This window comes from Homo sapiens, chromosome 11 (genome assembly GCF_000001405.40).
Source record: "Homo sapiens chromosome 11, GRCh38.p14 Primary Assembly".
NCBI classification, from domain to species: Eukaryota; Metazoa; Chordata; class Mammalia; order Primates; family Hominidae; genus Homo; species Homo sapiens.
Window position 1 is genome coordinate 47972109 of NC_000011.10, and position 14274 is coordinate 47986382.

Sequence of the window (14274 nt, forward strand, 5' to 3'; positions counted from 1 at the left end):
TGTGCCAAGAACTTCGTATGTGTTATTTCCTTTTCTTTTTACAGCTCTTTGAGGTCAAAAATCATGGGCCAGGTGCGGTGGCTCATGCCTGTAATCCCAGCACTTTGGGAGGCCGAGGTAGGCAGATCACCTGAAGTCGGGAGTTCGAGACCAGCCTGACCAACATGGAGAAACCCTGTCTCTATTAAAAGTACAAAATTAGCCGGGCGTGGTGGCACATGCCTGTAAGCCCAGCTACTTGGGAGGCTGAGGCAGCAGAATCGCTTGAACCCGGGAGGTGGAGGTTGCGGTAAGCTGAGATCATGCCATTGCACTCCAGCCTGGGTGACAGAGCGAGACTCTGTCCCAAAAAAAAAAAAAAGAATGAGTTTATTTTTAATTTTTTTTTTTTTGAGACGGAGTCTCGCTCTGTCGCCCAGGCTGGAGTGCAGTGACGCGATCTTGGCTCACTGCAAGCTCTGCCTCCCGGGTTCACACCATTCTCCTGCCTCAGCCTCCGGAGTAGCTGGGACTACAGGTGCCCGCCACCATGCCTGGCTAATTTTTTTGTATTTTTAGTAGAGACGGGGTTTCACCATGTTAGCCAGGATGGTCTCGATCTCCTGACCTTGTGATCTGCCCGCCTCGGCCTCCCAAAGTGCTGGGATTACAGGCATGAGCCACTGCACCCGGCTATTTTTAATTTTTATTTATTTATTTATTTTCAAATTTTTCTGAGAAGGAATCTCGCTCTGTCGCCTGGGCTGGAGTGCAATGGCGCGATGTCGGCTCACCGCACCCTCTGCCTCCTGGGGTTCAAGCGATTCTCCTGTCCCAGCCTCCTAAGTAGCTGAGATTACAGGCATGTACCACCACGCCCGGCTAATTTTTTTTTTTGGTATTTTTAGTAGAGATGGGTTTTCACCATGTTGGCAAGGCTGGTCTTGAACTCCTGACCTCAAGTGATCTGCCCGCCTCGATCTCCCAAAGTGCTGGGATTACAGGTGTGAGCCACCGTGCCTGGCTACCATATATAATTTTCATTTGCTTATTTAGATTGCAGGTACTTTTCCACATGACACAAATGGTCCAAGTTAATTTAGAGACCGAGGTGTTCTATGCAGCCAGCACAATGTGATTAAGAATTTTTTTCAGCCTGAAAAAAAAAAGAACATTCTTTTCAAGTCTGGAAAAAAATAATTTATTTCTAACAAGCCTGGAGGACCCAGATGCAGAGAAGCCGTGGGCCTCTGGCCTTGCGCCCTTCTTGTCTTTGTACCTCTCAGTCCTTTCTTTGTTTGAGGTGATGGTTCTGCTGCAGGCTTGACTGCCTCCTGCCCACTGCTTGCCACTTCTGGGCTTTGATTTTTTTTGAAATGGAGTTTCACTCTTGTAGCCCAGGCTGGAGTGCAATGGTGTAATCTCAACTCACTGCAACCTCCGCCTCCTGGATTCAAGTGATTCTCCAGCCTTGCCTCCTGAGTAGCTAGGATTACAGGGATGCACCACCATGCCTGGCTAATTTAGTATTTTTACTAGAGACGAGGGTCTCACCATGTTGGCCAGGCTAGTCTCGAACTCCTGACCTCAGGTGACCCATCTGCCTCAGACTCCCAAAGTGTTGGGATTACAGGCGTGAGCCACCATGCCCAGCTCACTTCTAGGCTTTGTATAGAAGTTGTTCTCAAGCCCTGGACAAAAGCTCCTTGCCCTCTAGGCCTCGACTCTCCTTGTCACACACTCCCTGTGTTTTCAGATATCCTGAAACCCTGTGTCCTGGGTCTGTCCTGCCAGACATGCAGGTACTGGGCTCACTGGGGGTTTGACTCAGATCCTAACAGCTCAGGAGGTGGGCTGGGGCACAGAGGCCAGTGGGTTTCTGACATGGGGACAGGGTGGGGACCCTTGACAGCAATAGCCCTGTTTCTGCTCTCCCAGACGTTACAGGGTTTTATTCCCCTGCATTGAAAATCTGGGGAAATTTATGGTTAAAATATGATTGTTGGGTTCTGACTGGGTTGCATTCTAGTCTCTTGCTTTTGGGGTTTGGCATGCAACTATCTCTTTGGAAGTCAAACTTTGTTTCTTATCTCAACACACACACACACACACACACACACACACACACACACGCAGGCACGCACACACTAGAAAAGAATTGGGAAAATGCTTAATGTTGCAAATGCTTGAAATGAGAAACAAGAACAGGACTGCCAAGGCACTCCCGAGCTCTGTGCATGGGCAGGTGACTAAGACAGTGTTTAGAGAGGAACTGAGGTCTGGTGGACAAACATGGAGTTCTAACCACAGCCCAGTTATTAGTCCACAGGAAACATCCTGTTACTATTATAAAGATGAAGTGCTACTTTTTTTTTTTTTAAAGAATTTTCTAAAAGTCTTCCTTTCCATTCTGATTCAGTTCAGTCTGTGAGGCAGAAAGGTCTCAGGGCAGCCATGCCTGCAACATTAGCTAATCAGACTCCCAAGAAACATTCCATTCCGCTTAGGAGGGCTTTGGAGAATGGTTTGCTCATGGTGGCTTTTAAAATACACTGAGGGTTGCCAGGCTGAATGGGATCCCTGCGGGGCTGGTGACCTGGTTCTAGGCTGGTGCTCAGCAGAGCTGCCTCCTGGTGGGTTAGTGGACTTGTTAAACATAGTTGCCTCTCCTATTCCCTGTTCTTGGGGGATGAAGAAGAAAGTCTTGTACTCTATCCCTTCCCATTCTAAAATTGGGGTAACGGAGGCCCAAGAGAGTAATAATATAAGAAATAAGAGCCAACACAGATCACTTTATGTTAACTTGTCTACAAATGTCAAGGGGAGGAACATCATGGCATAGTGGCAAGAAAGATATAGTTTTAGATCCTGGTTTTTGCCAGTCTGAAACTGTGTGACCTTGTGTAAGTAAGTAAGCCTGAGACTCAGTTTCCTTATTTGTAAAATACTGATGATGATGCCTATTATACAGCATTGTTGTAAGGAGTAGAAATAATGGATGTAAAGTACCTGGATGAGTGCTGGCATCCAGTGGGTACCTGATAAGTGGTCTGTATTTATTTATTTATTTATTTATTTTTGAGATGGAGTCTCACTCTGTAGCCAAGGCTGGGGTGCAATGGCACGATCTTGGCTCACTGCAACTTCTGCCTCCTGGGTTCAAGTGATTCTCCTGCCTTAGCCTCCTGAGTAGCTGGGATTACCGGCATGCACCACTACGCCCAGTGTGTTTTTGTATTTTCGGTAGAGACAGGGTTTTGCCATGTTGGCCAGGCTGGTCTCGAACTCCTCACCTCAGGTGATCTGCACCTGCCTCGGCCTCCCAAAGCGCTGGGATTACAGGCATGAGCCACCGTGCCCTGCCTTCTTTCCTTTTTTTGAGATAGGGTCTCACTCTGTCACCCAGGCTGGACTGCAGTGGTGCAATCTCGGCTCATTGCAACCTCTGCCTCCCGGGCTCAAGTGATCCTCCCACCTTAGCCCCCCAAGTAGCTGAGACCACAGGGATCCACCATTATGCCTGGCTAATTTTTGTATTGTTTTGTAGATGGGGTTTAGCCATATTGCCCAGGCTGGTCTCAAACTCCTGAGCTCAAGTGATCCGCCTGCCTCGGCCTCCTAAAGTGCTGGGATTACAGGCATGAGCCACCATGCCCAGCTGTAAAATTTTTCCTTTTAGAGAACAGGGTCTTGCTGGGTTTGCCAGACTGGAGTGCAGTGGCTATTCATAGGCAATGACCGTGGCATACTATAGCCTGGAACTCCTGGGCTAAGGTGATCCTCCTGCTTCAGCCTCCTGAGTTGCTGGGACTACAGGCACCCAGCAGATAAACAATGTTTTGTAATCATGCCTGACAGTAAGAATTTTCCAACGGCTAGTTAAAAATACAGATTCCCTGGCCAGGTGTGGTGGCTCACGCCTGTTATCCCAGCAGTTTGGGAGGCCGAGGTGGGCACAGATCACTTGAGGTCAGGAGTTCAATACCAGCCTGGACAACATGGAGAAACCCCATCTCTACTAAAAATACAAAAATTAGCCAGGCATGGTGGCGGGCACCTGTAATCCTGGCTACTAGGGCAGCAGAATCACTTGAACCTGGGAGGTAGAGGTTGCAGTGAGCCGAGATCGGGCCACTGTACTCCAGCCTGGGTGACAGAACAAGACTTTGCCTAAAAAAAAAAAAAAAATACAGATTCCCAGGCTTCACCCTCTACAGTCTATGGAAAGGCATGGGAATCTATATTATAACAAGCCATTGAGTTTCTTTTTCTTTTTCTTTTTTTGAGACAGAGTCTTGCTCTGTCACCTAGGCTGGAGTGCAATGGCGTGATCTCAGTTCACTGCAACCTCCGCCTCCTGGGTTCAAGTTATTCTTCTGCCTCAGCCTCCTGAGTAGCTGGGATTATAGGCGTGTGCCGCCACCCCCAACTAATTTTTGTATTTTTTAGTAGAGACAGGGTTTCACCATGTTGGTCAGGCTGGTCTCAGACTCCTGACCTCATGATCTGCCCACCTTGGCCTCCCAAAGTGCTGGGATTATAGGTGTGAGCTGGCACTGGGTGGCTTCTATGAGGAAGTTTTGGAATGCATCCAGGAGCCCTCCACTCCAGGTTCTTGGTTTATTAGCCTTTTGGTCCTCTATTTATCTAGCCCTCTGTTCAGTAAAGCTTTAGGTTTGTTTGAAGGAGACATGATTAGAAGGTCAAATATTGTATATTCTCAAGGCGAATGTGTCCTGAACTTTGCATAGTAGAATTTATTCCTGAAAAGTTGTTTGCAGATGGAATTTGTTTTGTGCGTGAGAGAACAGGCATATACAGAATACCTTAGTTTGCTATTTAATTTAAATCAATATTATCTGAGTGACTGTTATTTGCTGAGGATACAATGATAAACAAGATGCAGACCCCATCTTCAAGGGTCTTAGAGTCCAGCGAGGAAGGTGGTCAAATAAACAGGCAATTACAAAATTGTGGTTAGATAAGGTTAAGCACAGGGAGCTATGGTGGATGGAGGAGGAAGTGCACCCAACTCAGTGTTGGGGCATCTTGGAATTTCTAGGTGAAGTGACATGTGATGGAGAAACCTATAGACTGGAATATAGTCTCAAATCCATTGCAAAGGGAATGATCCTTCCCCAACTTATCTTCGTGGAAAAATAAACTTTCTTTCTTTCTTTTTTTTTTTTTTTTTTATTGAGATGGAGTCTTGCTCTGTTGCCCAGGCTGGAGTGCAGTGGTGCGATCTCGGCTTACTGCAACCTCCGCCTCCCAGGTTCATGCCATTCTCCTGCCTCAGCCTCCCGAGTAGCTGGGACTGCAGGTACCTGCCACTGCGCCTGGCTAATTTTTTCTACTTTTAGTAGACGGGATTTCACTGTGTTAGCTAGGATGGTCTCCATCTCCTGACCTTGTGATCTGCCCACCTCGGCCTCCCAAAGTGCTGGGATTACAGGCGTGAGCCACCGCGCCCAGCCGAAAAATAAACTTTCACATCATGTTACCCCTGGATACATTTTTGTGGCCATGCATCTGCACGAATATTCAATCCCTGCTACAGGCAAGACACTGAGTGGGACGTTGCAGGGCTACCAAGGTGAGGAGGTCCCAACCCCTGTCCTCAAGGAGTTGATGTAACACCTACCCAGGATTAATTTCATTTCTCTCAGAGGTCATTAATCCAGTGTGATCTGTTTATGGCTGAAGAGGTAGTTTATTATTCAGGTCTTCACTCCCTTTCCTGAAAAGGCTGTTTATTTTGTTTCATCACTGTGCAGTGGCGAAATCCAGTTCCAACCAATACTTAAGCTGGGCATACATTTTACCCAGGAGAAAACTGAAGGGCGTGCAGGAGTTCACAGAGCTGTTTGCTGACCCAAGCCATGAATCTGTGGAGACCTGGGTCGGTCTTCAGGGTTAGTAGGGTCTGTAGGGTCTGTGAGGATCCGAGGCAGCCTGCAGACCTACTATCATCTTCTTTTTCTTTTTTATAATTGGCAATCATCCTTGGCTACCCAGTAGCATCTTTTTTTTTTTTTTTTGAGATAGAGTTTCACTCTTGTTGCCCAGGCTGGAGTGCCATGGCGCGATCTCTGCTCACTGCAACCTCTGCCTCCTGGGTTCAAACGATTCCCCTGCCTCAGCCTCCCGAGTAGCTGGGATTACAGGCATGCGCCACTACACCCAGCTCATTTTGTATTTTTAGTAGAGACAGGGTTTTTCCATGTTGGTCAGGTGGTCTTGAACTCCCGACCTCAGGTGATCCGCCCACCTTAGCCTCCCAAAGTGCTGGGATTATAGGCGTGAGCCACTGTGCCCAGCCCCCTGGTAGCATCTTAAATCAAGCTTTCCTTCCCTCTGGGTATCATGGACATGAACACCTTTTATGTCTCTGCCTCAAGAGGGGAGGAGGCACAGAGGAACAAAAATCCTTGTGAATTATGATAATTACATAGTGTTTAAATGAAGGGTGGCAAGGTGTGTAAGTCCATAGGTAAGGTTTCTTTTTTCTTTTTCTTTTCTTTTTTTTGAGATGGAGTCTCACTCTGTCACCCAGGCTGGAGTGCAGTGGTGCAATCTTGGCTCACTGCAACCTCCGTCTCCCGGGTTCAAGCGATTCTCCTGCCCTCAGCCTCTGGAGTAGCTGAGATTACAGGCACGCCATCACGCCCAGCTAACTTTTGTATTTTTAGTAGAGATGGGTTTTCACCATGTTGGCCAAGCTGGTCTCGCACTCCTGACCTCAAGTGATCTGCCTGCCCCGGCCTCCTGAAGTGCTGGGGTTACAGGTGTGGTGTGAGCCACCACGCCCAGCCTCTTCTTTTTTTTTTTTTTTTTTTTGAGACAGGTTTTCACGTTATTCCCCAGGTTGGAGTGCAGTGTTGCCATCTTGGTTTACTGCAGCCTAGGTTCAAGCCATCCTTGTATCGGCCTCCCAGGTAGCTTAGTCTACAGCTGTGTGCCACCACACCCGGCTAATTTTTGTAGAAACTGGGTTTCACCCCGTTGCCCAGGCTGGTTTCGAACTCTTGAGCTTAAGTGATCTAGTCACCTTGGCCTCCGGAAGTGCTGGGATTACAGGCGTGAGCCATCGTGCGGCCTGGCAAAGTTTCTTTATCCTCAGTGCTTGTCTGGGTGTGTTGTCTGGTGGGAACCACTTAGACCCTGTAAGTGAATGTGTATTCCCATCTTGTAGATGGTAACCTGAGGCCCAACGGGTGTCTGGAGGTAGTGTTGGACACCTCGTGGTCTGCATCTTGCTGCACACAGAATCCAGCCTAGACTCATTATCCTGGCCTTTGAAGTCTCCCCCAGTATGAATCCCCCAGCCTCCCATTCCTGTTTCTCCGAAGGCCAAGCTCGAAGCATCTGCTGCCTCGTTTCTGCCAAGTTGGCCCCACCTCCTGAGACACTTCTCCCCTCTACTGGCCTGGTGAAACTCAACACATCCTTCAAAGCCCAGCTCAGGTGTCACCTCTCTCCTGGTTGGAATTAACCTCTTCCTCCTTAGCACTCTCTGGTTTGGCCCTTTCTCTTGCGGCTTCTCCTGGGCAAGTGGCATAGCCTCCCTGATCCTAGTGTCTTCCTCTGTGCATGGGCACAGGAGTAATATCTGCTGTGATCTTTAACTCCTGTCAGTTCATTGACCTCTTTAACAACGTGATGAAAGCTTCCAGAAGAGCTAATGTATGTGGAGTCCCACGATGTGTCAGGCTAGGTGTTTAGGACTTTACTAACTACTGTCTCGTTTAATCGCGAATGCAGTGGACCTCTCTCTCCACACGTCCTAGTACGATCTTTATTTCACACGGGAGGAGAGGAGGGTGGGTGGGGTCGGCCAGAGAGGAGAAATGCGTCTCCAGAGTTCACAGGGCTGGTACTACCAGCAGAGCCCCGTCCACCATATGCCACAGCTGGGGTTCTAATCCCTGGACTGGCTTGTACTGGGCTCTCTGCCTCCCTGGCCGGCGCTCGGGGGCTGGGGGACAGAACACAATGTACAGCGTGCCTTCTACAATTTCGGGGTTCACGCACCCCCAAGCCCACCCAGGGCCAGGTCAAACGCGCCTTCGCCGGGTTGCTGTCTACAATCAGGCTTGGCTGCGCTCTCAGTAGGGGTCTCGGTCAACCTCTGCCCACCCGAACCCGGCGCCGTGGACCTGGTGTGAGGCTGGGGAGCCCGTCCTGAGGGGTGCCGGCTCGAGGCGCTAGAGCCACGGAGCCTGGTCCCGGGCTCCAAGTCCCAGGAATGTGGGAGGGCTGGGCGGAGGGGCGGGCGAGGCGGGAGCGCTTCCTCTGCCCGCGGGAGGGGATCCGCGGCCGGCTCGGAGGGGGCGGGGGCAGCGGCGGGCGGCGGCGAGGGGCTGCGGAGCTCCGCAGCCGCCGGGCCGGCCGGGGCGGGAGGAAGCGATGAATATTCAGAGGGGGAGGGGAAGGGAGGGGGCCGAGCGCTCGCCGCGGCTCCCTGCAGCAGCCCCAGCCGCATGACGCGCGGAGGAGGCAGCGGGAGCAGCCGCGGGAGCCGGGACCGGGTAGCCGCGCGCTGGGGGTGGGCGCCGCTCGCTCCGCCCCGCGAAGCCCCTGCGCGCTCAGGGACGCGGCCCCCCCGCGGCAGCCGCGCTAGGCTCCGGCGTGTGGCCGCGGCCGCCGCCGCCGCTGCCATGTCTCCGGGGAAGCCCGGGGCGGGCGGAGCGGGGACGAGGCGGACCGGCTGGCGGAGGAGGAGGCGAAGGAGACGGCAGGAGGCGGCGACGACGGTGCCCGGGCTCGGGCGCACGGCGGGGCCCGATTCGCGCGTCCGGGGCACGTTCCAGGGCGCGCGGGGCATGAAGCCGGCGGCGCGGGAGGCGCGGCTGCCTCCGCGCTCGCCCGGGCTGCGCTGGGCGCTGCCGCTGCTGCTGCTGCTGCTGCGCCTGGGCCAGGTAAGCGCCGGGTGGGCTCGGGCGGGGGGCAGGAGGCTGGGGCGGGACTGGCATTGACTGCACCTGCCCGAGCGTACCCCCCCGGGGGGTTCCGGGGAAGGGGGCGGGGGTCCGGATCCCCGGATCCCCGGAAGGCGACTTGCGGGGACCCCGGCCGGCCTCGCACGCCGGCGATCGATCCCTTTTCCGGCTGCCCAGGATCGGGGGAGAGAGGCGGGATCCGGGTGCCGCGGTGCCCGAGCCTCCCGGGGAAAGCCTCCGCGCGGGCTCCAGGCCGTCCCTGGCCCGGCTCTTCCCGGCGCTGGGCACATCTGGCGGGCACGGGCCCGGCTTCCTAGCCGGAGGCGGCCGGAGGGGGCGTGTTTGCGGAGGTCTGGGGACGCAGAGCCGGGCGGCCTGGCTGAGCCTTTGCCGACAGACCTCCGACCCGGCCTGCAGGGGCCCGAGGGGCGGCGGGGGCGACAGGGCAGGGCCAGGCGCTGGGCAGTGGGGCCCTGGGCGAGGCGCGGGACTCCGGGCCGAGGGCCCTGTTCCTGGGGAAAGTTCCCAGGCCGGGGAAAAGGTGGCCGCACGCTGGCTTTTCTCAAGGCAGCCGGCCCTCTTGGCGTCGTGCTTGATTTCATGGGTGTTTAATTCGTGCTTTGTGGGCGCTGGCTCCCCCTCCCCACCCCACCCTCACCCTCTTTTCTGGCTTCACTTTTCAGATAATGCTGTCCCTGGCGTTTTGGTGACCGACCTTTCCCCTTCCTGGCATTTCCATAGGGGCTGAGGCAGAGCAGCTGAAGGGGCATTCCCATTTCACAGATGGGGAACTGAGGGAGAGAAGTGAAATAGCGGAGCACCCAGCCCGTGCCATGGGAGCTGAGCCAGCGGGCACGTCCTCTTAGCCTCTGGAGCCTGTTGGGGTTTGAACCCGCAGGGGAAGCGGTCTAGGGCTGCCTTGCTGTGCGTTTCTGCAAATGACCATCTTGCTTGTTTTATACAGACACCATCTCTGAGGAAATGAGTTATTGGCTGGGGATGGAACCTGGTTTCAGGGAAAACTTCTCCAGCGCGAATACAGGAGAGAGCAGAAGCATCACCCTGGGGCAGCAATGCCGCCTAGCAGGCTGTAGGAGAAGGGGGCTGGGGCCTGGGGGCTGCGTGACCCTCGGCACCCAAGGGTCTCTCCTCGCAGTTTCCCCAGCAGGTTCTGCACAGGCTCTCCTGGGGGCCAGAAGGCAATGTGACCTCCTGCAGAGAACCTGGGAGTAGATGTCAGGAGACTGGCTCCAGGGCCGGGCCACAGGGCTGGACTTGCTCTTCAGGCTTCTCTACCCTCAGTTAACCGCATCTGTAGAATGAGTATAGCACCCTCTGCCCAATGGAATTGTTTGAGGGGCTTCCACTGGCCAATGTCTAAAAGAACTTTGTAAATATTAAGGGTTTCCACATGGGATTCTCATTATTAAGGTACAGTGCCTGTGGGGGCTGTCTTCTCCCTGTCCATGTAAGGAAATTCAGGGAAGCAGTGTCTGAAGTTAAAAAAGCCTTGTATTTGAAGATTTCTTGTATCAAAAGTTTATGCTAAAACAAAAACCACAAAAAACAGAAAACCCCCAAACTTAAAGCTTCATTTATTTTTAAATGTATAATATATGTAATTTTTTTTTTGCTTCAGCAAAAAAATTTTAAATTATATATATATAAAATTTATTTATTTTTGCTCCAGCCATAGTGGTTGCTAGCTGTGTTCTCAATCAGCAAAAAGTTTCTTGGGTAAATTTATTGCTTGCTCAATCCTTCCTTGTATTTCATTAGCATATTGCCACTCTACACTTGTCCTGTATTTAGATATTTCCTTCCTCTATGGTTTGTTCTGTAGAACCTCAAAAGGACTCTCTTATTTCTTTTTTTTTTGGACACATTATGAAATAGGAAGTCTAAAAGGCTCCCAGAAGAAGCATCTTCAAAATCCACATTCAGCAGTTCATTTTGATAATGGATATTTCAGGGAATCAGTGCATTTTTGAGCTGGACCAGACTTTCAAGACAGCTGAAACCCCTCAGAGCTCTTAGATGAGGATATTGATGTCCAGAGAAGACAGGGAGCAGGCTGAGGTCACCCAGCAAGGTATTAGAGAAGACAAGATGGGAACCTGGGTCACCGGCCTGGGCCTCATATTTTCAAAGTGCTATTTTTTTTTTTCCCGTGTTTTCACTTTGATCTTACTTTTAATGATAGGGACGTATCACTGTGTCTTCTCAAAATGGTGGGTGTGAATGGAATTTTTCAAAGTTGAATCAATTTGAGATATTTCTGAAGTTTGTTTAGGAAACAAGTATGTGACTACCTTCCTAAGAGCTGACTGGTTTTTTGAGGCCTGGATTGTGTGTGTATGTGCTTATGTGTGTGTTATAAAATGGAATCAACTATACCAGGTTAAACAAATGGACAAGTCATGGAAAAGACACAGCTCTGTTTGGACATTAATAAGGGCGGGTGTGGAAGCTGGAAAGCTGAGATGCCGGAAGGCTCAGTGCTTAGTAGGCCCGGAAAAGCAATTTTTGAACTGGCATCTCATTCCCCTTTTCTAAGACAGGAAGGACGGTCAGAGATGATTCCAACATGAGGACTTTGCTAGTTGCAGTGTCTGACTCCTCCCATTCTCATAGCAGTTTTGCACAGTAGTTTTGGTTTGTGTGTATGTTTTAGGCAATGTGACAAAGCAGTTTTCCTCCTGCCTCCTTGAGAAATTTAATCCTGACAGGTTCTTTAAGAAATCAGCTTGATGTGGGCTGATTTTAAAAGAATAAATGAAAAAAAAAAGCTGGTGACTGATAGCTGTTTTATTGGTCTTGTAGTGTTTTGGTTTTGTTTTATCTTCACTTTCTTGTTTCCTGGTGAATAATAACTGGGTTTATTATCTCTCATGGCTAATCCTTAAGCCTGATTCCTTACCTGTTCCATCCAGAGTACAAAGTATATTTTGACTCCTCTTTAAACTGCTTGTTAGATTCTCATATGAGTGACTTTAAATATTTTTGTTTTGCTTCAGGACAACGGGAAAACCAAACGATTATGTTTTGTTTGCAGACAGTTTACGAAAACAGCAAATTGGTTTATGGTTAGACCGTGACTTTGAGCTGACTTCAAGTTGGGCCCCACGATAAAGATAACCATGGAATACCCAAGCTTTCCTAAGCAGAGAGGATCCTGGCTTCCAAATGAGCAATTTTGGTCAGCAAAGGGGTTATTTAGCTCCTAAAAGTAATTTTTGCTTGAGGTTGGGGCTGAGGCAGAGTGGCTGAACAACCGTAGGCCTGGGTGTAGCCAGAGGATCATCAGTAATTACTTCTCAGTTCATTCACTTCTTGGGCTAGGGAATTATTTTGAGTGCAGGATAAGAGGCAATTTTCTGTGTGTTTCCCTTCTAATATAATGCCACTGATGATATTATAATTAATAGGTAACATTATGCATGACAGGCACTGTGTGCTAAGGGTTTTAATGCATTATTTCATTTGGCCATTTCAGAAATACCAAGAGGTAGGTGCTGTTCTTGTTTATTTGTTTGTTTTTTTTTTTGATAGGGAGTCCCACTCTGTCACCCAGGCTGGAGTGCAATGGTGCAATCTTGGCTCACCGCAACCTCCACCTCCTGGGTTCAAGTGATTCTCTTACCTCAGCCTCCCGAGTAGCTGGGATTACAGGCGTATGCCGCCATACCTGGCTACTTTTTGTATTTTTAGTAGAGATGGGGTTTCACCATGTTGGCCAGGCTGGTCTTGAACTCCTGACCGTAGGTGATCTGCCTGCCTTGGCCTCACAAAGTGCAGGGATTATAGGCGTGAGCCACTGTGCCCGGCCTTTTTTTTTTTTTGAGATGAAGTCTAGCTCTGTTGCCAGGCTGGAGTACGGTGGTGTGATCTTGGTTCACTGCAACCTCCGCCTCCTGGGTTCCAGGGATTCTCCTGCCTCAGCCTCCCAAGTACCTGGGATTACAGGCACGTGCCGCCATGCCCAGTTAATTTTTGGATTTTTATTAGAGACAGGGTTTCAGCATGTTGGCCAGGATGGTCTTGATCTCCTGACCTCATGATCTGCCCACCTCGGCCTCCCAAAGTGTTGGGATTACAGGCGTGAGCCACCGTGCCCGGCCTGTTTTTGTTTTTAAGAGACAGGGTCTTGCTTTGTCACCCAGGCTGGAGTGCAGTGGTACAAACGTAATTCACTGCAATCTCAACCTCCTGGGCTCAAGGGCTCCTCTCGTTTTAGCCTCTCAAGTATCTGGGACTAAAGGCGTGTGCTACCATTCCTGGCTAATTTTTTTTTTTAATAGAGATGGTGTCTCGCTATGTTGCCCAGTCTGGTCTTGAACCTCTGGGCTCAAGTGATCTGCCCACCTTGGCTCCCCAAAGTGTTGGGATTACAGGCATGAACCACTGCACCCAGCCATGTTTTTATTTTATCTGAGAGAAAACTGAGGTTCAGAACTTAACTGTATACTTCTGGAATCTTCACAGAGAAATAAAAAAAAAGAAAAATAATTTACTATAGATTCATTAACTACTACGTGGCGGAGCCAGGGCTGATGTCTCCACTGCCCCAATTTACCATCCTGTGCTGTAAAAAGTCATGGAGAAGGTTTTCTGTGTGCAGCTAAGAGAGGAGGTGGCAGACATTTATTTATTTATTTATTTATTTATTTATTTATTTATTTATTTATTGAGACGAAGTCTCACTCTGTTGCCTGGGCTGGAGTGCTGTGGCACGATCTCGGCTCACTGCAACCTCCATCTCCCGGGTTCAAGCGATTCTCCTGCCTCAGCCTGCTGAGTAGCTGGGATTACAGACGTGCGCTACCATGCGCAGCTAATTTTTGTATTTTTAGTAGAGATGAGGTTTCGCCATGTTGACCAGGCTGGTCTTGAACTCCCAACCTCAGGTGATCCGCCCACCTCGGCCTCCCAAAGTGCTGGGATTACAGGCCTGAGCCACCGCACCTGGCCCAGACATTTTTTAGACAGTCTTGCTGTGTTGCCCAGGCTGGACTCGAACTCCTGGGTCCAGTTGACATCCCTCTTCATCCTTCCAAGTAGCCAGGACTGCAGGGACATGCTACCTTTATTTTGGGTTCTTTGTGTCCTAAACCCTGTATGATCTGCTCCATTTGTAACACAGAGAACCCAGGTGCCCTCTTTCCTGCTTATATTTCTTTGGGGCCTCAGTTTACAAGGCAAGTCTGCCTTTGTGGAGATAGACTGGGGTCTGGGATGGAAAGACCTGGGTTTGGGTCTTTGCTCTGCCACTGCATAAACTCAGCAAGTCACTTAACCTCTGTGACTTCTCATTTCCTTATCTGGAAAATGGGACTAACACTTCCTGCTTCAC

The 14274-nt window shown here is 50.4% G+C and overlaps 1 protein-coding gene across 4 annotated transcripts in view, besides 4 other annotated features; it reads left to right on the forward strand.

Annotated features, from left to right (window-relative positions):
• Positions 1897-2556: an enhancer, noted in NCBI's record as "OCT4-NANOG-H3K27ac hESC enhancer chr11:47995557-47996216 (GRCh37/hg19 assembly coordinates)". NCBI's record gives its function as "activates a minimal SCP1, AML or CMV promoter by ChIP-STARR-seq in naive H9 embryonic stem cells {active_cell/tissue: H9 hESC(naive)}" and the evidence as "EXISTENCE:reporter gene assay evidence [ECO:0000049][PMID:30033119]".
• Positions 2557-3216: an enhancer, noted in NCBI's record as "OCT4-NANOG-H3K27ac-H3K4me1 hESC enhancer chr11:47996217-47996876 (GRCh37/hg19 assembly coordinates)". NCBI's record gives its function as "activates a minimal SCP1, AML or CMV promoter by ChIP-STARR-seq in naive H9 embryonic stem cells {active_cell/tissue: H9 hESC(naive)}" and the evidence as "EXISTENCE:reporter gene assay evidence [ECO:0000049][PMID:30033119]".
• Positions 8362-8951: a silencer, noted in NCBI's record as "silent region_3339". NCBI's record gives its function as "represses an Ori minimal core promoter by ATAC-STARR-seq in GM12878 lymphoblastoid cells {active_cell/tissue: GM12878}" and the evidence as "EXISTENCE:reporter gene assay evidence [ECO:0000049][PMID:35858748]".
• The window catches only part of PTPRJ (protein tyrosine phosphatase receptor type J), a 190281-nt gene continuing 184457 nt past the window's right edge, over positions 8451-14274 (forward strand). For 3 of the 4 annotated variants that reach the window (NM_002843.4, XM_047427374.1, NM_001098503.2), the window contains exon 1: positions 8451-8900. In NM_002843.4, the coding sequence (NP_002834.3) occupies positions 8805-8900 (96 nt within the window). In that variant the 5' untranslated portion in view covers positions 8451-8804. The remainder of the gene's footprint in view (positions 8901-14274) is intronic. The other variant, XM_017018085.2, reaches the window with a different exon arrangement.
• Positions 9052-9481: a silencer, noted in NCBI's record as "silent region_3340". NCBI's record gives its function as "represses an Ori minimal core promoter by ATAC-STARR-seq in GM12878 lymphoblastoid cells {active_cell/tissue: GM12878}" and the evidence as "EXISTENCE:reporter gene assay evidence [ECO:0000049][PMID:35858748]".